The sequence below is a fragment of the Homo sapiens genome, chromosome 7 (assembly GCF_000001405.40).
Source record: "Homo sapiens chromosome 7, GRCh38.p14 Primary Assembly".
In the NCBI taxonomy this organism is placed as follows: Eukaryota; Metazoa; Chordata; class Mammalia; order Primates; family Hominidae; genus Homo; species Homo sapiens.
This window is the reverse complement of record NC_000007.14, coordinates 31741337-31765362: the sequence shown is the minus strand read 5'-3', so window position 1 is coordinate 31765362 and position 24026 is coordinate 31741337. Positions and strand designations below refer to the sequence as shown.

The 24026-nt window shown below is 39.7% G+C and overlaps 1 protein-coding gene across 17 annotated transcripts in view; it reads left to right on the top strand.

The window, feature by feature from the left end:
* PDE1C (phosphodiesterase 1C) overlaps positions 1 to 24026 on the top strand; it is an 811448-nt gene that overhangs the window by 662862 nt on the left and 124560 nt on the right. For 9 of the 17 annotated variants that reach the window (NM_001191058.4, XM_017012264.1, XM_017012265.1 and 6 more), the window contains one exon: positions 11810 to 14184. The exons of the other annotated variants lie outside the window; for them this stretch is intronic. In NM_001191058.4, coding sequence (NP_001177987.2) covers positions 11810 to 11979 — 170 coding nt within the window. In that variant the 3' untranslated portion in view covers positions 11980 to 14184. Of the gene's footprint in view, positions 1 to 11809; positions 14185 to 24026 lie in introns of those variants that run through there. 17 annotated transcript variants of the gene reach the window in all.

Here is a 24026-nt window from a genome sequence, read left to right as displayed (position 1 = left end):
CATTAATGATGAGAAAATTTATAACCACATTATAAATGAGAAAATTAAAGATGATCATCACCTTGAGGGAGTTCATTTTTAGTCTATTTTTATATCCTTAGCATTAAATCATGAAGTCACAGGGCATTTGATAGGAAGCCATCGTTTGAAAAAGAGCCGATTTTTCCAGCCTCATTTAAATTGCTCCTCCCCTTTCACCTATTTGTTCAGGGAAAGAAGGCTCAAAAAATATGTCTCAGTGCCTCCCCATATTATCATGAGACCAGTAGAAATGAGCTAAGATTTTAGCATTTGTGTAAAACAAGGACTCAAACTTGAAAGCTTGAGAGGAAAGGAACTTGTTGACATTCTTCTCAAGCAAACATGGGCAGCAAAATCTAAATATCAAGACACCGCTGAAGAAAGAGAGAAATATTCGGATCTGTAGATCCCAATCATCATTTCCAGCTTGTGTATATTCAAAGTGATTCATTTATTCTTTAGTAAATGGAAGATTTATGAAGGTTACTGAATGTGAAGTAGAGTAGTTTATTCACTCATTAAATATTTCTCACCACCAGTTAATACTGTGATTAAGTTCTGGGGATGCATATACTGCATACCTATCCTCAGGAAGCTGATAGGCAGGATTGAGTTATTTATGGAATAAGGCACAAAGAAGCTCCAAAAAATCCAGGGAATCACTGGCTCAGGAATGGCTTCCAATGAGTGACTCAAATAATTACCATGACTCGGCATAATAAACGCAACGTGTCTTAAGAATGAGAAGTGTCCTTGACAGTTTTCTAATGATTTCAAGATTAAAATTCAGGGACTGGAACTCCTTCCGTCTTGGTTGGTTATCTAAGGCATACTTCCCACTGGGATTTCCAGCACTCTTTGTACTTGAGGTTAGGTGTTACTCAAAGTGATTGAATGGGCTGGGCAGGGTGGCTCATGTCTGTAATCCCAGTACTTTGTGAGGCTGAGGTGTTTGGATCACCGCGGTCAGGAGTTTGAGACCATCCTGGCCAACCTGGTGAAACCCCATCTCTACTAAAAATACAAAAAATTATCTGGGTGTGATGTTGCATACCTGTAATCCCGGCTACTACAGAGTCTGAGGCAGGAGAATCACTTAAACCTGAGAGGTTGCAGTGAGCCGAGATTGTGCCACTGCACTCCAGCTTGGGCAACAGATCAAGACTCCGTCTTAAAAACAAAAACAAAACCAAAGTGAGTGAATGAACCACTATATTTTTGCATTGCCTAAATGGTTTAGAATGTGGGCTAGCCATTTTTCCTTTGCTTAAAATGGCACATAGTTTCAGCAAAGTGGCTTCCTCAGGTAGCAGAATAGAAATATATGTATATAAAATATATATATAAAAATATATATAATATATACATAATATATATATTTTCACAAATGCAGATTTTAAATAACTGGTCTTTTGTGAATCAAAGTGGTGTATTCTCTGCCAAATATTCACAAATAAATTCATTAAGTTAATCTCTTCATTGTGTGGTGAGATCTTTCATGTAATAAAACCCATCCTGTGGGGAATTATGTGACTTTTCTATATTGTAATAAGAAGATCCACCAGGGAGGGCGCTATCACGAGGCAGCAATGATGACCTTTTGTCTTCCTGTGCTGTGTAACAATGATGGCTGTATATCAAATACCTACAACATTCTGGGCATTGTGTACTGTGCAATGGCACATGGGTACTGCATATGCATATTCCCATTTATATTTCCTTTAAAATCCTCACCACAACCATGGAAGGCAGTTACTATTCTCATTTTAAAAAAGGAAGAAAGAAAACCAAACCCTGAGTGCTAGAACAGATTATTTACTTAGGATTTCACAGCTAGTAATAGCTTAGCTCTGTGACGTGCCCCAAGCCCATGGTTTTTTTCATAAGACCACCCACCTCTCCCAAAAGCCTCTCCATGGGCTCATTTTCCTGTCACAGACCTTAGCACTAAGATCCTGTCTTAGATCTATTCTTAGTTTAAGAATAGATTATCACCTTAGACAACACTACATCTAATGCCCATGGTAAGAGAGTAATTTTCTCTCATACCATGGGTTAAGTTTGCTAAATTGTGTTTCTACAATCTTAGCACATGGCTGAGGGTTGGGCATTCCCAGACAACAGGAACAGGGAGCAGGTTGGCCGCCCCATTATCCTTCTAAAGCTAAGTATAAACCAAGTTGCTCTCAAAACAGACTCAGTCCCAAAGCCAGTGGTTTTCAAGCCTGGTCACACATTAGGATAACTGGGCATTACAAACATACTGATGTTTGGGCTCCACTCCAGGGTGATCAATTACTTCAGAGACTCCTGGGGGTAAGGCTTGGGCATCAGTACTTTTCAAAGCTCCCCAAGCAATCTGATGTGCACCCGGGATTGAGAACCACCAGTGGGAGAAAACAACTTCAGGTTGCATGGAAGGTAGCAAAACTACATGGTTTATCTGTTTTCTATGGATGCATATCCCTCTAGGGATCTGGAAATGCTGGTTGGGTCATCTTTCCATACCATACTAGTGGCCGTTTGGTTCAGACAGGATCAACTCAGCTCCTTCTAAATAGCTTCTCAGACTGCAAGCTTCCTGTCCCCTGCATTCTTTGCTCTGTGTGATGAAAAAATGGAAGCCATAGAGAATTCAGCATTCTCACTTTCTTGAGGTAAAGTCCTTGGAGAATCTGGGTCTTTAAAAATGTAGGTAATGGGGACAGGCTTGGTGGCTCACACCTGTAATCCCAGCACTTTGGGAGGCCGAGATGGGCAGATCACTTGAGGTCAGGAGTTCGAGACCACTCTGGCCACCATGGTGAAACCCCATTTCTACTAAAAATACAAAAATTATCTAGGCATGGTGGGATGCTTCTGTAATCCCAGCTACTCAGGAGGCTGAGGTGGGAGATCACTTGAACCCAGGAGGTGGAGTTTGCAGTGACCCGGGATGGCGCCACTGCACTCCAGGCTGGGTGACAGAGCGAGACTCCATCTCAAAAAAATAAAAAATGTAGATAATGGGCTTAATCATTCTAGTTTTTAATATGAAATATACCTTGAAGAGTTTAAGAATAGATTATCACCTTAGACGACACTACATCTAACGCACATGGCACGAAAGTAATTTTTTGGTTGGGTTAAAGTTGCTAAATTGTATTTCTACAAAAGGAAAGGCTCTTATTAATGTGGCCTCACTATAAGGCTTTTGTGTCTTAGAGAGGCAAATAAATTCCCTAGTTGGGAAAGCATGCTGCTACTAAATTTTCCCGGCACTTGCAAATCTTCTAGATAGTTCCTAAATGTCTTCATCTGAGGAAAGGGATGGAAATTGATACTGAATGAGCACCTACTATGTGTCAGCACTGTGCTGGCTGTTTTCACATGTATGATATATTTTTATTCTTACCATTGCCCTGTGAAGTGAGTGTTATTATTTCCATTTTTTTAAATGGAAAACTGAAATAAAGTGTCCAAGTCCTATGGGGACAGTGCCAGAACTGAATCTGGCCAGCTTCCAAGGATGGTGAGGAGTTGCAAATAGCTCATGGAAGATGAAGAATGAGAGGATTGGAGAGATGAAGACAGTAGTTTTGAAACTCCAGTACAGTAAAATTATCTGAAGAGCTTAAACAATTCCTGAAGGCTTAGTCCTACCCTCATAGATTCTGCTTTAAGTGATCTGGGGTACAAATTGAGCACTAAGAGTTTTAAAAGCTATGTGGTTCCCATATGCAGCCAGGATTGAGAACCACCAAGTTAAAGAGTCCTGGAGCTTGCCTGGCTAGACTCCACTGGCCTAGAGTTTTGGAATACTTGTTAATATTCCAGTCTGGCAGAAGGGAGGGAAAAGATGAAAGCAGTTATTTAAGAGAACTCTTTAAGTCAGGACCTTAATGTAGTTACTTCCTGAGCCATTGCCACAAACTATTTTAAAGTGGGGTTAGGGGATGACTTACTTTTGTTTACAGGGAAGCAAGATTATTGCTTCAAAATTATTGATTATTCAAGGGTATTCAATAATCCAGTATATGACTCAGGTACATACCTAAATGTTAATAATATAAATGAGATACAATTTTGACTTGACTCTTTTATTATTGGTAGTTATTATAACTTACTCTGCATTTTGGTACAAGATTATTTTAGATATGGGAGGATAGGAGGAAGGGTGTGAATTCAGATTGCATGTGTGTGAATCCAGAATCAAGACTCCTTTGTGCTAACTGTGTGATTTTGGCCAGTTACTTTAGCCAAAATACATGCCCAGTACATAGTATCAGCTATTACAATGATTTTACCACAGCGGTTCCTGAAATGAAAATCACAGGATCAAATCTCATATTGTCCCATCCTCAGTGGGGCTCACGTTAACATTCCAGTCCCTTGCAGTTCAAAACTCCTGGATGGTTTTTGTGCATTTTGATAAGGGCTTTCTACCACAAACAGATACTGATTTTAGAAATAGAATGTATAGTAGAGTTTTTTCCTTCATGTAAAATAACATTTAAGTGGCAATAAATGATTATTTTAATTTCGTTAGTTTAGTATATGTGGTTTGGTGTGTGTGTGTGTGTGTGTGTGTGTGTGTGTGTGTACACATTGCAGATAGAAAGTGTCTATAGGAGAAAGTGCTTTTTCCAAATGTCATATCATAGCATTATGTTTGAAAGAGAAAAAACAGATATCCAACACTTATTTTTGTTTAAAACTAAGGCTACCAATATTAGAATTTACTCAAAAGCTCCAAGTAGACCAAATTATTGCCATTTGAGGTGATGCTCACCTGAAGAGGTTCAGAAAACCTCCACCTGAAGATACTGCTGCACTGCAGTGTGGGGTTCCAAAGGTCACACTGAAGTCACAGTGGATTGAAAGGACCAAGGCCAGTGCTATGGGAAATCATATTGAACTCAAGGGAATGAGGCCAGACCCAAGCGTGGATGAGGACTAGCGGCTGTTCTCTCTTGATTGCTCTCATTTAGTGGAAAACAACAGGGTATACTGGGTTAATGACTTGATATAGTGTGATACCATATGATAAGAAATTAATTCCATTTTTCTGAAGGCGTTTTCACTCTATAAGATGTCCTTGATAAAAAGGAGCTATTTAGCCAAATAAAATTGAGAGAAACTACATGCTATTGGCTGTTCTCAGGGATTCTTAATAGATGTTAGCATTATTTAAGGTGCTGGTAAGTCCTGGTGTGAAGATACTAGTTTAACTCAGTTAAATTTGATTGAGGAAACCCTCTCCCCACAACCACACCTATTACACAGCTTTGTTGAAGGGCACTTTGGTTTCCAGTAGACTAATATAAATAATCCTAATAGCTGTATTTGATATATGAATAAATGTGAACCTGTTTCCTGGAGAAAAATAATTCTGTACAACTGTTCCCCATACCAAAACAAAAAAGTAGCCACGAAGAAAAATGATGAGAGAGAGAGAGAGAAAGAGAGAATGGAGAGAGAGAGACAGAGAGAGAGAGAGAGAACAAAAGATAGGCTGGTTGTGGCAGTGAAAGGGGAGAAAATCATAGATACCTTTGGGAGAAATTGTTATATTTATGAAAAATAATTAAACAATTGAGAGTTAAAACTCCTAAAAGAGCATTGCTTTTATGAAAATCAAACATGGAGCATAATTATAAAATAAAGGACGGTGATGTATCAATTTTTGGCTTGAACTTTTGTTTTTCTAAGCATGTTTAAAAGTAATATAGATAATTTTCCCAAGTTCAGGTACTGTGCTGAGATATGTGCCTTTGTCACAATCTTCATTAACTAATTAGATCATTTTCTCCAAGCAAATTGTTCTAAGAGATGAGGCCAGACTTTTTTAAAGTATCCCCAAGGGGAAGAAGTGTCCAACTTGCTGATAATCAACCATTTATTTGTGGCAGGGGTGGGGATCCAGGTTTGGTTCTTCTCCACTAGTGGTCGGGGATTGTACGACTGGTTGGATTCAGCTGTGGGAAGTGCCCAGTCGTTGAAAGGAGGAGGGTCGGACCCCTTCCGATAGTTTAGGTATAGCCAGACAATTAATGAGGGTACCCTCAGAAGGCCATACCAGGACCCCAGAAGAATGGTCCACATTAAATTCAAGATGGTGCCCTCATGCCTGGCTCTGGTGTTTTGCTCTGTCACCAAATCACAATCCATTGCAGAGGGGAAAGGCAATGAATGCATACAAAACAGCAATGTACGAAATTTTCCTTTATCCCACATTTTGAGTGAGGGTGACAGCAGCCATATAAGTATTTCCACAAACTCAGTGGGGAGTCTACCTATATCAGCAGGTTCAACTCTATTTGCAGTGACTCCAGTGGCAAGGAGAGGTTTTGTTCTGACAATCAGAATCCCAGCAAATGGTAAATGTTTCTTCATGCTGAGAAGTGGGAAATTCAGTAATACTTTGGCTGAGTTCCTGCTGAGTAGTGAAATAGAATGAATATGGAGAGGGACGGTGACTTGAAGAGCAGTGAATCAGCTGGCTCAGACATTGCAACAATCTGCTTTTAAGCTGAAGCCCTCTCCCCTTTCTACACCATTCTCCAGGGTAACGGCACTGCTTTTATGTTTGTTCCTAGGCAATTTGATGCCATAATTTCTTGTTTACCCTAAGAAACAGAATTAAGCACTCTGAGATCTAATAAACAAACCTATAATAATATAGAAGAATATATATTACTATGTAACAACAGAGCCATTTGCTGCAACTCTTTACTTCACGTTAGGATATTGCAATGGGTGAAGTTGGCATGGGTATTAAGGAGCTTGTAGCCATAGCATAATTTATACCTGAACACTTTTTATTTCTGTGAGTGAGTTAAAAGTTTCGAAGGATCTTATTAGAATGGAAGCCCTATAAAGGCAGGGATTTCTGTCTGTTCTGTTCACTGTTATATCAATAGCACACAATAGGTACTCTAAGAAGTGGGTGAATAAATATTTTTTGAAGGCTTTTATGAGGCATACTTGGGAGTATGGGTACCTCATAAGTATTTTAAAAAGAGAAGTAGCATAATTTTTTTTTAATTTTTTTTACCATTTTTTAAATTATACTTTAAGTTCTAGGGTACATGTGCACAACGTGCAGGTTTGTTACATACGTATACATGGGCCATGTTGGTGTGCTGCACCCATTAACTCGTCATTTACATTAGGTGTATCTCCTAATGCTATCCTTCTGCCTCCCCCCACCCCATGACAGGCCCTGGTGTGTGATGTTCCCCTTCTCGTGCCCAAGTGTTCTCATTGTTCAATTCCCACCTATGACTAAGAACATGCAGTGTTTGGTTTTTTGTCCTTGCAATAGTTTGCTCAGAATGATGGTTTCCAGCTTCATCCATGTCCCTACAAAGGACATGAACTCATCCTTTTTTATGGCTGCATAGTATTCCATGGTGTATATGTGCCACATTTTCTTAATTCAGTCTATCATTGATGGACATTTGGGTTGGTTCCAAGTCTTTGCTATTGTGAATAGTGCTGCAATAAACATACGTGTGCATGTGTCTTTATAGCAGCATGATTTATAATCCTTTGGGTATATACCCAGTAATGGGATGGCTGGGTCAAGTGGTATTTCTAGTTCTAGATTCTTGAGGAATTGCCACACTGTCTTCCACAATGGTTGAACTAGTTTACAGTCCCACCAACAGTGTAAAATTGTTCATATTTCTCCATATCCTCTCCAGCACCTGTTGTTTCCTGACTTTTTAATGATCGCCATTCTAACTGGTGTGAGATGGTATCTCATTGTGGTTTTGATTTGCATTTCTCTGATGGCCAGTGATGAAGTTAATCTGTATGCTGTGAAAAGTGTACTCAGCTATGGCTTGTCTGAGATGTCTAGTACTAAGGTCCAAGGTGAACTTGGTTTGACTGATTTTCTCTCAGGTGTGATTTCGTAGAATAACTCTGATAGATGATTCTATAGAAGAAATGTTTACTAGTATGTTTCTTTTTTAAAAGTTACATGACTAGAACATGATCATCATAGAAAAATTAGAAAGTATAAACAACCAAAGAGATAAAATAGCCATGTTTATGCTACTCAGAGATAACCACTGCTATGATTTAAATGTATGTTCTTCCAGATTTTCCTATGCACATATGTTTATATTTTCTAGTAATGAGGTTAGATAATATATCCTGCTTTTTCATTTAACACCATTACATGAACCTCTATTTTTGTTAGTAGTCATCTGTATCATCTTTCCATAGTATCACAGTAGCATATTCTAAGAATGGACCAGAATTTAACCAATTCCCTATGATTGTTCATTTAAGTTGTTTCTCATCTTTTGTTTGGTCACAAGCACCATGCATGTCCCTGTTATTGGAAGAGATGTGCAGAGCTGGTTTTTCACAAGGAAGCCTCAGGCATTGGACAGATGGGTCCCTGACCTTGGCCCTTCCAGCAGATCCACCGTGTGTCCTGCTCCTGCACTGGCTTTTTCAGTGACAGTGGAGGAGCCTGCAGGGAAAGCCAGTGAGCAAGGGTTCAACTGGCTCTGTTTCCTTGCACTTTCACCTAGTTATTATATCTCATCTGTTTTTGATGATCATTTGACTTGTTTTCACCTTTATTCATGTTGACATTATCTCACTGACCAAACACTTTCCAGCAGAACCTAGAAGGGATGAGGTGGGGGCTGGCACAGAGAGGAGCAGGGGGAGGAAAAGTCAATGAGTATTTTACCTTCTATGTCTAGATCTGCAGATTAGATGCTGTCCTTATTATTATTAATTATTATTATTATCTGAAGTTCCTACTTTATTTAAATTTCCCTACTTGTTACCCAGTGTCATTTTTCTGTCCCAGGGTCCCATCCGGGATAACCCATTACTTTTAGTCATCAACTTTCCTTAGACTTTTCTTGGATGTGACAGTTCCTCAGACTTCCCTAATTTTTGGTGACTTTGACAGCTTTGAGGAATACCTGTCAGATATTTTGTGGAATATCTCTCAATTGGAATTTATTTGATATTCTTCATTTTTAGAATGGGGTTATATATTTTTGGGAGGAAGACTCCAGAAGTAAAGTTCTATTTTCATCACAAAATATTAATTTTCATCACATGCCACTGGTGTCAACCTTGATCCCCTGGAAGAAGTGTTTACTAGATTTCTCTATATAAAGTTACTCTTTTGTCTCATATATTTATTTATTTATGAGAAGGAGTCTTGCTGTGTCACCAAGACTGGAGTGCAAGTGTACCATCTTGGCTCACTGCAACCTCCACCTCCCAGGTTCAAGCGATTCTCCTGCCTGAGCCTCCTGAGTAGCTGGGATTACAGGTGTTTGCACCAACCACCACACCCAGCTAATTTTTGTGTTTTTAGTAGAGATGGGGTTTCACCATGTTGGTCAGGCTGGTCTCAAACTCCTGGCCTCCAGTGATCTGCCAGCCTCGGCCTCCCAAAGTGCTGGGATTACAGGCATGAGCCACCGTGCCAAGCCTGTCTCATATTTTAGTCTGTACTTTTTGGAAGGATGTCACTTTGTCCAATCCATACTAAGGGCTCCTTCTCCTTAAGGGAGGCATATGTATATAAATTATTCTCCCACAATTATTTATTTATTCAATCATTTATTTATATCAGTGTGGACTCATGGATATTTATTTTATACTTCGGGTTAAAATGCAATACTGCCTTGTTTATTTTGTTGCTCAATTTGATTCAATTTTGATCATTCAGTAGATCTTTCATTCAGGGCTCCTTTGTCTATTGTTGTATTTGTTTTTTGTTTTGTTTTGTTTTGTTTTTTTTGAACACTTCAAATTTTCTGGCTCTACAAGATGCTTCAGGTACTTCTTGTATATTTTGTGTCCGAGTTCTGGAATCAGTCATTTCTGCAAGGAGCCCTGGTTTCTGCTATTAGCAAATGGTTTTAGAAACCAAGATCAGGGCAGTAGATGTGCTTATTGCTGCTGAGACTTCTAGATTTGTAGTGACTTCGTTGGTCCTAGACCCCCTCCCCTTCAGCTGATAGAGCAAGACAATATATGTGTGAATGCCAACTCATGTACATACACATATCTATAAGTATTTTATATATAATCACCTGTATCTCTATTAAGCTAAATATTAATTCATATTGATATAATCAAGTTCATTACCACATGGACCATTCTAACCTCCTCCAACATTTCTCACCATCCACCCTCTGTTTACGTAATTGTTGAATTCTGGTATACATGTAGAGTGGTCTTAGAGTTGATAACCAATAGCCCCATGGGAAACAATTTTATCAGCTAGAATAGAGTGCTTGTGTACAGCTTCTTCGGCCTTTAGTCTTGCAGATTCTGTTCATATACAAGGTTACTTCGATGACCGTCTTGTCCCCCACTCTTCAGTGAGGTTGTTTCCTACATTGGCAATGCATTTACATTGTCTTGTTACAATTTGCATTTCATTCTAGGATTCCTCCGACCTCTTAAATAGTTTTTTTATTTGCATACATTAAGGATTATTCTATGTGCTATAAAGTTGTATGGGTCTTGACAAATGTGTAGTGTCATATATACACCACTACAGTATTGTATGCGAGAGTTTCACTGCCCTAGAAATTCCCTGTGCTTCACCTATTTAACCATCCCTCCTCTTTCCAAACGCCTGACAATCTCTGATGTTTTTATCATCTCTATAGTTATGTCCTTTGAAGAATGTCGTATAAGTGGAATCATATGCTATACAGCCTTTACAGACTGACTTCTTTCACTTAGCAATATGTATTTAAGATTCATTCATGTCTTTCCATAGCTTGATAGTTAATTTGCTTTTTATCACAATGAATAATATTCCATTGTATAAATGTATCACAATTTGTTTATCCACTCAACTATTGAAGGACATCTTAGTTGCTTCCAGCTTTTGGCACTTATGAATAAAGATTCTACAAAAATTCATGTGTGGGTTTTTATGTGGACATACATTTTCCATCAATTGGGTAAATACCTAGGATGCACAATTGCTGCATTGCATGGTAAGACTATGTCTAGCTTCATAAGAAACGGTCAAACTGTCTTCCAAAGTGGCTGTACCATTTTGCATTCCAATCAGCAAGAATGGGAGTTCCCATTACTTTACATCCTTGCCAGCAATTGGTGTTGTCAAGTTTTTTAGATTTTAGCATTGTGGAGGTGTGTAGTAGCATATAGTTGTTTTAATTTGAAATTCTCTAATTGTTGAGCATTTTTTCCTATGCTTATTTGACACATACATCTTCCTTGGTGTGAAGTCTGTTCAGATGTTTTGCCCATTTTAAAATTGGGTTGTTTCTTTTTCTTGAGCTTTAAGAATTCTTTTTATATTTTGAATACAAGATCTTTATATGTGTTTTATAAATATTTTCTTAATGATGCACTTTTAAGTATCCCTTGGGGATTGAGTGCCACTTTCCAAACACTAAAAGCTTACATACAATGCTAAATGCTGTTAATGATATACCTGTGTTCACCTTGTTTGCTTTGCTGTTCCCAGAAATGACCCCAATGCTTCCTCTCACTCCCTTAACCCCATCCATTCATTGTCAAAGGACCTTTATGTACTGCAGTTATCACTGTATCTCTAGAAATTTCTTCCATTTATTTATTTTAACTGAATGACCAAGGTGGTAACGTGCTTATTCATCTATCTGCCATAAGGTTTCCAGGGAGAATCCAAACTGCTTCTTTCCTGGTCTTGGAGGAAACAAACAGGTCTAGAGGAAGTTGCTCACAATATTTAGGTTGTGGCATGTCGTGGGTGAGGCTAACCGTTGTCTGTCTTCCTTTCCATGGCCGCCAGTCATCAAGCCTCCTTTGCGTCATTTTAAACGCCCTGCTTACGCATCTAGCTCCTATGCACCTTCAGTCTCAAAGAAAACTGATGAGCATCCTGCAAGGTACAAGATGCTGGATCAGAGGATCAAAATGAAAAAGATTCAGAACATCTCACATAACTGGAACAGAAAATAGGCCGAGGGGAAGAAGAGAGGGAGTGAAGGAGGGTCTACCTATCTGCTTCTCAGCACCCACTGGCCACAGCAGGACACACCTCCAAGACCCTTGGAGGCTGTTGGAGCAGGTACTATCCTGGTTGACTCCACCAAGGTGAAATGAAAGTTGTATGTGATTTTCCTCTTTGTTGTTCTTGTATAGACTTTTCAATTGCTGTATGTGGGATCAGCCCAGACGCCAGCAACAAACTAGCAAGAGGGGTGTTTTTATGGTATAAGTCTCTAAAAGTCTAAATTGGACCAAAATTAAAATGACACAAACTTAAAAAAAAATAAAATTCCTCTCATTGCCACTTTTTTCAATCTCTAAAAGTTAGTTGCCCCCAAAAGAATATTGGTTTAATAATCATCATATTTAAGAAATGCACTGATAAAAACATATTTTCCAATTTTAAATACACCTATTTAAAATGTAAATACACTTATTTAAAATTCAAGTAAATATGTAACTATCAAAGTAAATGTATTCAAAACAGAAGTTGTGCTTCTGAATGTAAAAATATTAAAAGGAAGAGAAGACGGATGAATTGTTGTATTCATGGACATTTCAGAATTCACGCTTATAAAGCAAATCCAAGTTAAAAAACAAAAAAAGATTTTTGTGCCTCATGAAGATTGTGCCTCATGCCCAATAACCTCATGTACTTTGAAGGATGTGAAGGTTTGCAAGAGATGCATTTGGCTTCATTTTCCTCTAATCTTTTACTTCTACCCACAGTAGATGATACAAAAAATCTTGCCTTAAAGACTGCAGGTTTAAGAGTCATTGCAAAAGATGTCAGTTTGATTTTGTGGTCCTAGGCCAAGAGGGTGTAAAATTCTGAGCCTAGTTTAAATTCTTTATTTTCAGATTGTTCTGGACTGAAAATAAAGAATTTAAACTAGGCTAGAGATGCCTTTAAGTTACATTTCAGATCCTCTTCACAGCACGCTACATATCTAAAGCCCTTGAGATCCTGATTGTTCTCACAGTTGTTGGTGGAATCCATAGTTTTATAACTCACCTCTTTTTATGGTGGCATTGTTAGCCCTTCTGTGTCTCTCCCTAGGATTTTTAATTCAGGACTAAAATCACAGAAGTAGCAAGGAAAGGCTCAAGACTAGAGATAGCTTTCAATCTCTTCAGAAATAGCCTGGTGCAGTGAGAAAACTAGGTTTGTTTTCAGGCCAGTCTGATCTTCATCCTATTCTGTCTATAACTAGTTGCAGGTCCTTGCTCGGATGGCATAATTTTTTGATGCCTCCATTTGCTTAACTAGAAACTAGGATTCATATACACACTCTGCACTTTGTATTGAAGATTAATGATAATGTAGGTTTTGGTTGCTGTGGCTGAGCCTGGCCAGTAATAGGTGCATAACAGAAGTAGCTAAGAGCATTTCATAATCAGGATGAACTCTCCAGGACAGCCCTACAAAGAAGGAGCTGTTTGTTCCCGGATGGCCTCGACCTTCCAGGCTTGATTGTAAAGAGTTTAGTGTCCTCTCCTTCTCTCATTCCCTGCAGTTCATTTCCAATAAACTGCAGTTATTCAAGTTGAGCAAGTTCCGGAATTTAGTGCCTACCATGCTATTGGGCAGTTTATTTATAATGTGCTTTATGATGATACTTCAGAGAAATTTAATTGCTATACAAAAAGACGAATCATTGTGACTTTTCGTTAAGGAGGCGATTGCAATTCTTTGCTCCCTGCCTGGTGTCTGGGTTAGAAGGCCCTTCTGCAGGCTGGTAGTGTCTGTTCCACCTGGATTAGGTTAACTCAACAGGTAATTCCTATCTGTTTATACACAGATGCTTTAGCGCTTGCTGTACAAAGTCATTTGGCTACACACTGAGGAGGCCCATGGGAGTAGTAGCCTCCTCAAATAATGTTCCCTACCTATCTGTCAATACCTTCCATCTTAGGTATTGAGAATTTAATGAGGCTGTGTTTTCTTGGCTGTGCTTCTTGATGTTGGAAGCCATGTTCCTGGGGAACAAATCTGTATTCTTTTCTCCTAAGATGTGAGTTTTTTTCAACCTTTGCTAATATTTTAATGGAGCAAATGTACAGATGTTGAGATTTTGCACTGCTTATAAAATGCCTACCATGTTTTTTGCATAATGGATTGTATAGAAATGCAGATTATATTCTTACAGCAAATAAAAAGATGCTTTTAACAGACTTTCTTGTATGTGAGCCATTTTCTTCTCTGAAATTCCGGGATGTTAGATGTTAGCTAAATTTGCTGCTGTTCAGCCCTGAACATCTTGTCAAGGTGAATAGTATAACTTACCCATTTCAATTTTCTTCCTTATTGTTTAGGTGGTAGTTCATTTTTTAACCTTTTTCTCCCTATACACCCAGTAAATAAATTTGTTAATATAAATAACCCATAATAGAGTTTAGTCAGCAGGTGAACACCTGTATTATCAACTCAGTTTATATCATTCCAGACCAAGCTATCTTGCTAGTGGTTAAGAATTGGGACTTTGCGCAGCTACTCAGGAGGCTGAGGCAGGAGAATGGTGTGAACCTTGGAGGCAGAGCTTGCAGTGAGCCGAGATCACGCCGCTGCATTCCAGCCTGGGCGACAGAGCGAGACTCCGTCTCAAAAAACAAAACAAAACAAAACAAAACAAAAAAAACAATTGGAACTTTGGAGTTTAGAAAAACTTACAATTAAATCCTGACACTGCCTTTTGTTTGCTCTGGGAGCTTTACTAAATTGCATAATATCTCTAAACTTTAGTTTCTTTAGCTGTAAATTGAGAATAATAAGAATTCCTGACTCATTATAGCACAGGGCTGGCCTTACAGCAAGGGCTCAATAAATATTAGCTATTATTTCTTGGACAGAGAGTGGAGTATGGTAAAAAGAAGTTAGGCCCTGAGTTCAAGGGTAATGTCCCTTACTAATTCCATGACATCAGGTAGATAATCTCCAACTTCAGTAAAAAGGAGTTAATTTCACCATGTATTACCCATTTAGCTATTCCCACAGGCACCAGCTTCTGACATCCCCACCTCCAACAATTTCTCCACCTGTATCCCCACGCCCTTGGCCTCCTTGGGCCTTCATCTACTGTGGCCGTCTCTTGCCCTCATGACTGACTAGGACTCTCCCACAACCTCCCTGAGACTTACTTCCTGCAACCACTGCCCTTCACTCTGTTCCTATTTACCCTATCTCCTTCTCCACACACAATTAATTGCTTTATTCTTCCAAATTTCCACTAACACAAGTCAACTGCAGAGAGCAGACTTTTCCTAAAGGTTTAGGATGATAGCACAGCAGAATCAACTATTTAAAAATTTAAAAATTAGGGCCAGACGGGGTGGCTCATGCCTGTAATCCCAGCACTTTGGGAGGCCAAGGTGGGTGGATCATGAGGTCAGGAGTTCGAGACCAGCCTATCCAATATGGTGAAACCTGTTTCTACTAAAAAATACAAAAAATAGCTGGGTGTGGTGGCACGTGCCTGTAGTCTCAGCTACTTGGGAGGCTGAGGCAGGAGAATCACTTGAACCTGGGAGGCAGAGGTTGCAGTGAGCCAAGATGGTGCTACTGCACTCCAGCCTGTGCGACAGAGTGAGACTCTGTCTCAAATAAAAAAAAAAAAAAAATTAGACAACAGCGACCACAAAATATCAGCCTCCCTTTGCAGAGGATTTCTCACAGGCTGTGGATTCCCGAAGCACCGATTTGTCTGCATCTTCTCGCCCTTCTTCTACCAAGACCTTTCTCCTCCCCTGTTGCATTCAAATTCCTGTGAATGTGCAGCATGGTCCACTTCTCACCCCCTACACCACACATTTTCAAGGCGTAGAAGCTCACCACATTTTTTCAGCACCACATATTTTCAAGACATGTGAGCTCACCCTGACAAACAATGGGCATTGACTCTGGGTCACACTCCTATAAGCACAAAAAACCCATAGCAGATTTGAAATGGCAGTGTTTCCCTTAAACAAAATCCAATCCTTAGGGCAAGACCAATCCACGTAAGGAAAGAACCCAATAAATATATCCTTTCCACTTCCACCACCACCTCTCCTGCCCACCCCACTTGACCCTGCCCAGGAGTTCTGCTTGTTTATTTTTTTTTCCATTCAGTTATAATATCAACCTCACAAAGGTAGGGCAGTGACTTTCATTTATAGGTGCTTAGAGAATGCAAATTCTCTTGTCTTCCTACCTTTTCCTTCTGCAAGCCAGTTAAGCCTTATCATGAGCACAGCCACCAAGCTTTTGAAATAGAACAGACACTCCAGCATCCCTCTGTTAGGATTTCTTGTCCCTGCAGGATAGAAGGAGAAGGTAGAGATGGTTGATAGCCACTATTTTTTAAGTCTAGGATTTTCATCCAAATCTCTCTTCCTTAGATGAAAGGCCACTTGTACATCAGCAAGCTTTCAGTTTGTTTTCCCATTGGCTGCAATTTCACATGATCAATTATATTCTCTTTGATCCATTTTCAATTTAAAAGAAATCTCTGTTGGAACAACATGCTGATTTATTGAGAGTTTGTCAAATTAGGTTGGAACTGGGGATGCCCTGGGACTGAGGGTGGGAGTGGGTGAAGGCTTCATGACTTGGCCTCCAAGCGTGGCCCTGATGTAGCCTCAAGTGCCGTCAGCAAGGCCAGTTGAGGCAAGAGAAGGCCCTGCATCATAGATGGTGACAGTAGGCCTTTGCTAGTGGTTTTATTTTTAAGACTGATCTAGGAGACTTATGAGTATTCATTATACTTTTGTTACATTCACAGAACATGAAAAGCTGCTTTTGGGGAATAACAAGTGATAATAACTGTGGAATACTCTCCTCATCTGCATATTTTAACTTCACATGTTCATATTTTAACTGCATCTTTAACTCATAATGTTCAACTTGGGTTCTCTGTGAATGTTCACTGGCATGCTTTGTTTTGTACACCTGAATAAGAGATTCAGCTGAGCCAAGCTTATAGAACCATCTCGTCTAGATATCAGTCATTATGGAGACAATGCATGTATGGTCATTGCCCTTTTAGCAGCATCTCTTATGACTCACTAGGTAAAGAAAGATTCCAAACTTTTGTAAGACACAAAGGTAAAAGGATACTAAATAAATATAACAAGAGAGAAAAATATATGTGATTGTGAAACTGCCTTTGCAAAATTATGACAGTAAGAGAAATCTGACATAGTTGATTCCCTCTTGCTTCTGATCTCCAAGCTGCCCTTGGTTATTCTTGGGTGTAGGCTAAGCTAACTTCAGAAGGAATTTAGTTTATAGTTTAACTTGAAAGGGAGGATAAGAATAGTCCCTCCCTAAAACTAATCCCTTCCTTGCTCAGGGACCAAAAACTGCCTTTGTAAGACTGACGAAAGGCCACAAGAACAGGATTATGGGAGGAGCCTGAACTCTGCTAAAATGTAAGCACAGTTTTTATAATCCTTTCTTGCTCAGGAGTTATATGGCCAGAGGGTTGTAGAACCCAAGACTGATTTTTTTTTTTTTTTGAGATGTTTTGCAGACTGACTCCACCTGGACTTGTGACTCCTGACTCAACTGACCCTGTGACCACACCCAGGGGCAGACTCAGTGCATGAGGGCCATTTTCCACACCCTTATGATCTCATCCCTAACCAATCAGCAGCTCCCATTCCCTAACCCCTGCCCACCAACTTGCCCATAAAATCTCCTCAACTCAGAGCCCTGGAGCCTTCAGGGAGACTGATGTAAGTGATAAGTAAGTGTAAGTTCTCCAGTGTAGGCCAGCCTTGTGTCAGTTAAACTCTTTCTCTACTGCAATGCTGAGATCTCAGTGGACTGATTTTTTTTTCTGTGCAGGAGGTAGGAAGAACTCATCAGGTGATTACAATCATAGTGGGCAAAAATTTGAAATGATAGAACACTGCTCTAGCATAGTCGGTTTCAAAATCCAGGTAATAATTTTTGAGAACCCACCAGGTTCCTGGCACTTTAATATATGCTAATATATTTTTTAACTCTTATAATGAACCTGTGTGGGAAGACTTACTGTCCTTATTGTTGATTAGCCAATGGGTTAAATTTTTCAGAAAGTTTGCAGAACTAGTGAGGAAAGGTAGAAAGGAGGTTCAATTGAGGTCCTTTGATTGCACTGCTATATATTTTTTCCATGCATTGTGTTGTTCACACAGACTTTTCTGGTGTGCCCCTTTGTTGAGCCTGCTCCCTGGCATCACAAGTTTTTCATATTCAACCATGCTCCTGTCATCCAACATAGAATTCAGGACCAGCAGCAATGGCATGATTCTTCTCAACACTCAGGATTGTGAGTTTCCCTCTCCCTCTTAGGCCAGGATTGATTGTGTCCTCTACTGAACCCATGTCATGAAGCATTTCTAGAAGAAGACCTACCTACCTTTCTAGGAGAAGAGCTGACATTACCACCCACACATTTGGACCTCTGGCCTCCATGCACCATTGCTCATTGAATGCATCTTCCCCACCTCTCATCAGTTAATCCAAATGGTTGGCTCTTTCTCCAACTTGTGGCTTTTTTTCCCTGTCCTCTCAATTAGGACATGTCGACAGCATAGTCCATGTGGGAAAAAAAAATTCCCTAATTTTTGTGTTTCCTACTTCTGTGGATATCTGACTCTACACCATTCTCATTCTTCCCTGAAGTCTCAGAGGAAGCTGTGTTCTCATGTTTAAAACTGGTTTCCCCCACTGAACCATATCCGGTTTCTACTGCTGAAATATACTTATATTTGATTTTTATAGAAAGTCAGCAATGGAATCCAACTATTTTGGATAGATATCCAAACTGCCAGAGCACAGTGATATTTCCACAGGCCCATTCCCCTTGAACTTTCTGAATCTATGCATTTGTCCTTGTCACTCTCTCAGTCCTGTACCTGCACTCCTAATGACTTGCTGGACTTCTTCATCTGAGTGTCTTGGAGTGCTGTAAGTGTCACTCCCATATTCTCCTGCAGCTCTTGTACAGTCTTCTCCCTGACGTCTATATTTCTGTTATTGCTACTATCATTTTCCTAGTGACTCATTCTCAAAGTCTTTATCTTTTACATTCCTCCAAATCCATCTTCACATTTGTCACTGATTCTTCTCTGGGATTCTGCTTCTACCTCTGGGTTCCTTCCTTAGGAATTACAGCCCTCCATTGCAAGAGAGATATCCCCTCTCATGTCAGACTCCCCCTGGAGCCAGAAAACCCACCTCCAGTGACCAGTGGCAGAGGCTTTATCAAGAGAAACATGAAGAACAAGTTTGCCAACATGTGCATTCTCCACTGTTGGAGAAGTTTGTCCACTCCTGTCTTACCCAGAGGGCTTCTCTCAGTCACTGAGAAGACTCAGTACCTGTCAACGAGAAGCGAACATTTTACAGAGAGATCTGGGTACTCCTGACACCTTGCTCAAAGGTCTCTCTTTTCCCCTACTCGCCCACCATACTCAGCATAAAGAGATCAAATGAGTGCAAAGCATTTGAATTCAAATATTCTAAGCCAAAAAGACATAAATATCACCAGACAATTCTGTTCAATAAATAAATACATGGGGAATATACTAACTTTCAAAGGACAAAGTTTCTCATGAAGTGACATCTATTACTTATTACTATTTTGCACCACCTACCTTCACATGGAGCTGCTTGTTGACTGAGCCAGGTCTATTCTCATTTTTGTTCACATGGCTTCATTTTCATTAAATGTCTTTTACTTGCCTTTTGCCTTTGGAAATCTTAGTTGTTCTCCTAGGCCCCACATAAACTTTCAACTTCTCTGGGACTTGGTCCCTGATCTCTCCAAGTAAAAGTGGCCTTTTGCTGGGATTACTCCTCATCATGCTCATTTTACTTATTTGAGACACTTAAATCATTCTCCCACAAATTACATAGATCCTGGTGCTTTCCTACTATATTATCATTTCCTGGAGAGCAGGGACCATCCCATTTCTTTTTCATACTATATCCTCCGTAGTGATCAACATAGTGCTTTATGTAAAACAGATCCTTGAAAATGTAATGAGAGGATGTGGTACCAAATGGAAACAAGATAGGGATGGGAAATGTATAAATTCAGGGAAAATATTACCACTCTTCATCTCCCACTTCCAGCAGACAATCACTAACTTTTCTCACCAGGCTTAGAAATAGTCTCAGAAACCTTCTCGACACAGAGCGCCAGGCAATTGGTTCCAACCCACTGGAGTTTTCATTCTGTTAAAATCAATTAGCATCCATAGATGAAGAGAGAGCATAGTTTTGCCTTTATCTTAATGCTCTGTTGTGCTGGTTAAACATCTCTTTATGTGCCAAAATCTCACTTCATCCAGATAAATAAATTTATGTTTAAAGATTGAAATGTCGTATCTTTCAAAAAAAAAAGCTACTTTGCTCTTCACATATCTCTGCTATATTTTTAAGATTCAAAATCCCTGGTGAAGAGAGGAACACAGCTCCAGCCCTTAGAGCCTTACCTTTAAAAGTAGGCAATTTGTCTGAACCTTTCTTTTCCTCAAACATCCTACCACTGAAAGTACTGCAGTTTCCCGAATTTTGGAAACAAATATCAGAGTGTGATCTCACCACTTACTAAACTAGGCTAAAATGCCTTGGGAGATGTTGTGTTAGATAGCACAGTTGTGTTTTCTATGAACTGCCTCCCATCTTAAAAGAATTTGAATGTTAATAAGCCACATACAATGGTGTCACTGAAAGGGCATATCATGCCTTGATCATTTCTAGAAATGAGATTGAAGCCATGATGATTAAGTGGCTCAAAGGTTTCCATAGGCACGCAAAAAATTATACTGGTTTATTTAATTTGATGTACTCAAGCAACAGATCGCACCTGATACGCTCACAGTCACTTCTTAGGCTGCACTGCCACCTGGTGTCCTGTAGAGGCATGAGTTTCAGGGAATCCTTCAAGGTAGTTTTTAGCTGGATGAATGTAGTCTTAGATTTCAAAAGTGCAAGCAGGTTGTGAAGTATACCATTTTCATTCACTACATTTCTGTATAGGTTTGTTTCTTCATCAAACACAGGGATTAGCTTCTTGAAAACTCATATTGTTTAGGTGTATGTGTGTGTGTGTGTGTGTTTGTCTACATAAAGAAACCTTAATCTGTGAAGAAAATAGAGCTCAGGGAAATAGTGTGAGAGGAACTGTAGGAATCATAGTAAATATAATAAAGACAGAACTCTAAATAAATGACAATATCCATGATATTTTACATATGGAAATAATAATGACTACAGCACCATTAATGTATATTTATTAATCTTAGTATGCTAATGCTGACCCAACTTCCATTTCTAAGGCTGTTCCCCCGCCTGTCTCTTCTAGAGAAGCTGTAAACACTAAACACTCAACTTCCCAGTTGTCCTACATCTGGGGGCAGCCTCTTCCAGTTCTCCTTTTCCTGCCTGGAGTGCCCACTTGAGCCTGGAGATATAGCAGCCCATGAGTTCATGACAATCATGGAAATGAAATCTGACATGCTCTATGTGGCAGAGCAGAAAGACTGAATTTGCCTGGGCTCCAATTAAATTACTGAACTGCTACACCAGCCCTGGCTGACTTCTTGGGAGTTACTACTGTATGAGAAAAATAAACCCCTATTATTTCTTTAAGTTGCTGTTAAGTTAGTATTTCTGTTGTTACTCCAGAAGCCAGTTTCTAATTAAGTAGAAAACCCTGCTTCCCTGAAATTTGAGTGAAATGCTTACACATTAGTTTTATTTTACTTTTTTGCAGAACAGAATTGGTGTGTGTGTGTGTGTGTGCGCACACACACACACACACTGCATCCTCCAGCGAACTTCTCAATGCTGATGTGGTTTTATGACTTCAGTCATTGACAGCATGGTTCTAGCGTCCTCTGAAGTGGAAACTGTCATTTTTTCTTATACTCCTATTGACTCTCCTGTCTTACTTGTGGCAGGGCTGCAGCCTCAGGCATCTGAAGGACAGATAAGCACATTCCAAGGAGGGGGAAGAGCGGGAGCAAAGAGCATACACTTTTGATCCGAAGAAGGCCCGTGTTATGGTTGCAGAGTGAACAACTAGGAGGCTGGCATAAGATGAGACTCTCAGGATAAGCAAGGGCTACATCATGTTATGGATTAGACTTGATATTAAATGTAATGAAAATAGTTTTTACAAAGACTTAGCAGGATCCCAGCAGGATAAAAGTCATATTTCACAAAGATTGCTGTGGCTGCCAAATGGAGATGGATTGGTAGAGGGTAGGAGAAAAAATTAAGAAGTCAATAACAACAACAACAAAAAAACTATAGAGATAGGGAGGAATTGAGGCCAGACTAGGGGGTGGCATTGGAAATAGAGAGATAGTAGATTTGTTATGAACTTGGGAAGTAGAATCAACAGAATTTGGATAGAGAGTTGAAGAGAGTTTGGGCACCAGTGAGGGCGAATGTAGGCACTGATTACTGAGAGATCATTGGAGTAGGGTGGGGAAGGTGAAGAGGGACCACACTGGGGACAGAATAGAAAACAGTTTTGCATTTGCAGAGTTTATAAGACACACAGTGAGCAGTTTGATTGGCTGGCCAGGTGCTCAGAAGAAGGTTCAAAATAGAACTAGAAACTTCAAAAGGACCACACTACACAATTTCCAAATGTTCCTGGTCCACCTGTCCTCCCCCTCAACTATATTTATCATGACTTTTGGTGGCCTAGGTGGGTTCCGTGAATTAATCTTTGAGAATGTGGAACGCAAAGATCTTAGGGGAGAATGTAACACCAGTGTGGTGTTTCAGTGAAGGAAGATTGGCAAGTGCTGCTTTAGAAAATAATTTTAGAGATAGGGTCTCCTTGTGCTGCCCAGGGTGGCCTCGAACACACCTGGGTTCAAGGGATCCTCCCGCCTCAGCCTCCCAAGTTGCTGGGACTTCAGGTGTGCACCACCACAGCTGGCTTGTGCTGCTTGAATTCGGTTAAAATGTAGTCCCAAGGCTCTAATTCATAAGAAACTTGTAGTTATTAAAAGAAACAGAAACTGCATAGTCTAGGCAGCCATCAGCAAATGGCTTTAGGAAAGTGTTGGCTTCTGAGTTTATGTTACAAACTGGTTAGTGCCGGAAGAGCACAGGACTCAGGGTCTTCATGAGCAAGTGGAAGTCCGATGGGACGTTTGTTCTTTATTGTTTTCTTACTGGAATGTGCAGGATGCGTGTACTCATTGTCCACAAATGTGTACCAGTCTCATTCTCTTTCTTCATGCCTTTATTCCTGATCTAGAATACCACTGATTCATTCCTTTGTTCAATAATATTGGTCAAATTCCTTTCCTGTTTCAGGTGCTAAGAATGCAGCAGTGACTAAAACACAGTCTTAGGTCTCCGGAGCTCTCATCCAGTGGGCAGATAGTTTTAGGAGCAAATAGCTAGCAAACAATGTGATGAGGGCTATGCCTGAGCTGTGAAAACAGAAGTTGTTAACTCTGGGGAGGCTGCAGGAAGAGAATTGGGGCACATGGGACCTGGTCCCTGCCTCCCTCCCCAGTATCTTCTGCAGCCACAGCCATTTTCCACCCCTTATGCCTTTCATGCCAGTCATACCAAAGCTTGTCTTCATCCCTAGGTAAGCTCATTTCTTCCTGATCCCTATGATGAGCCACATTCTGGGAGAATATGTCTGTAACTGCCTAAAAGGAAGACAAAACTTTCTTGCTACAGGCAGGTAAAATATAGGCTGGAATAAAACCCAGTCACCAGAACCTTGTTAGAAGTCTAAAGAAGATGAAAATGGGTAAAAATAACTGAAAATACATGTGAAAATTAAAGTGAAAAATAAGATACAAAGCAGTTAAAACATAGTAGAATGAAATTTAGAGAAAAGTGAAATAATGTAACAATTTGAGAGATTATATTAGTTAAGGAAAGGAATGAGAAAATTGATAATACTGCACATAATTGAGTGGATAAATTTATTTTAGAATAGGAACAGTTAAAGATTAAAAATATGAAGTTAAAATATGGTAAAGGATTGAAGCTGGATAAG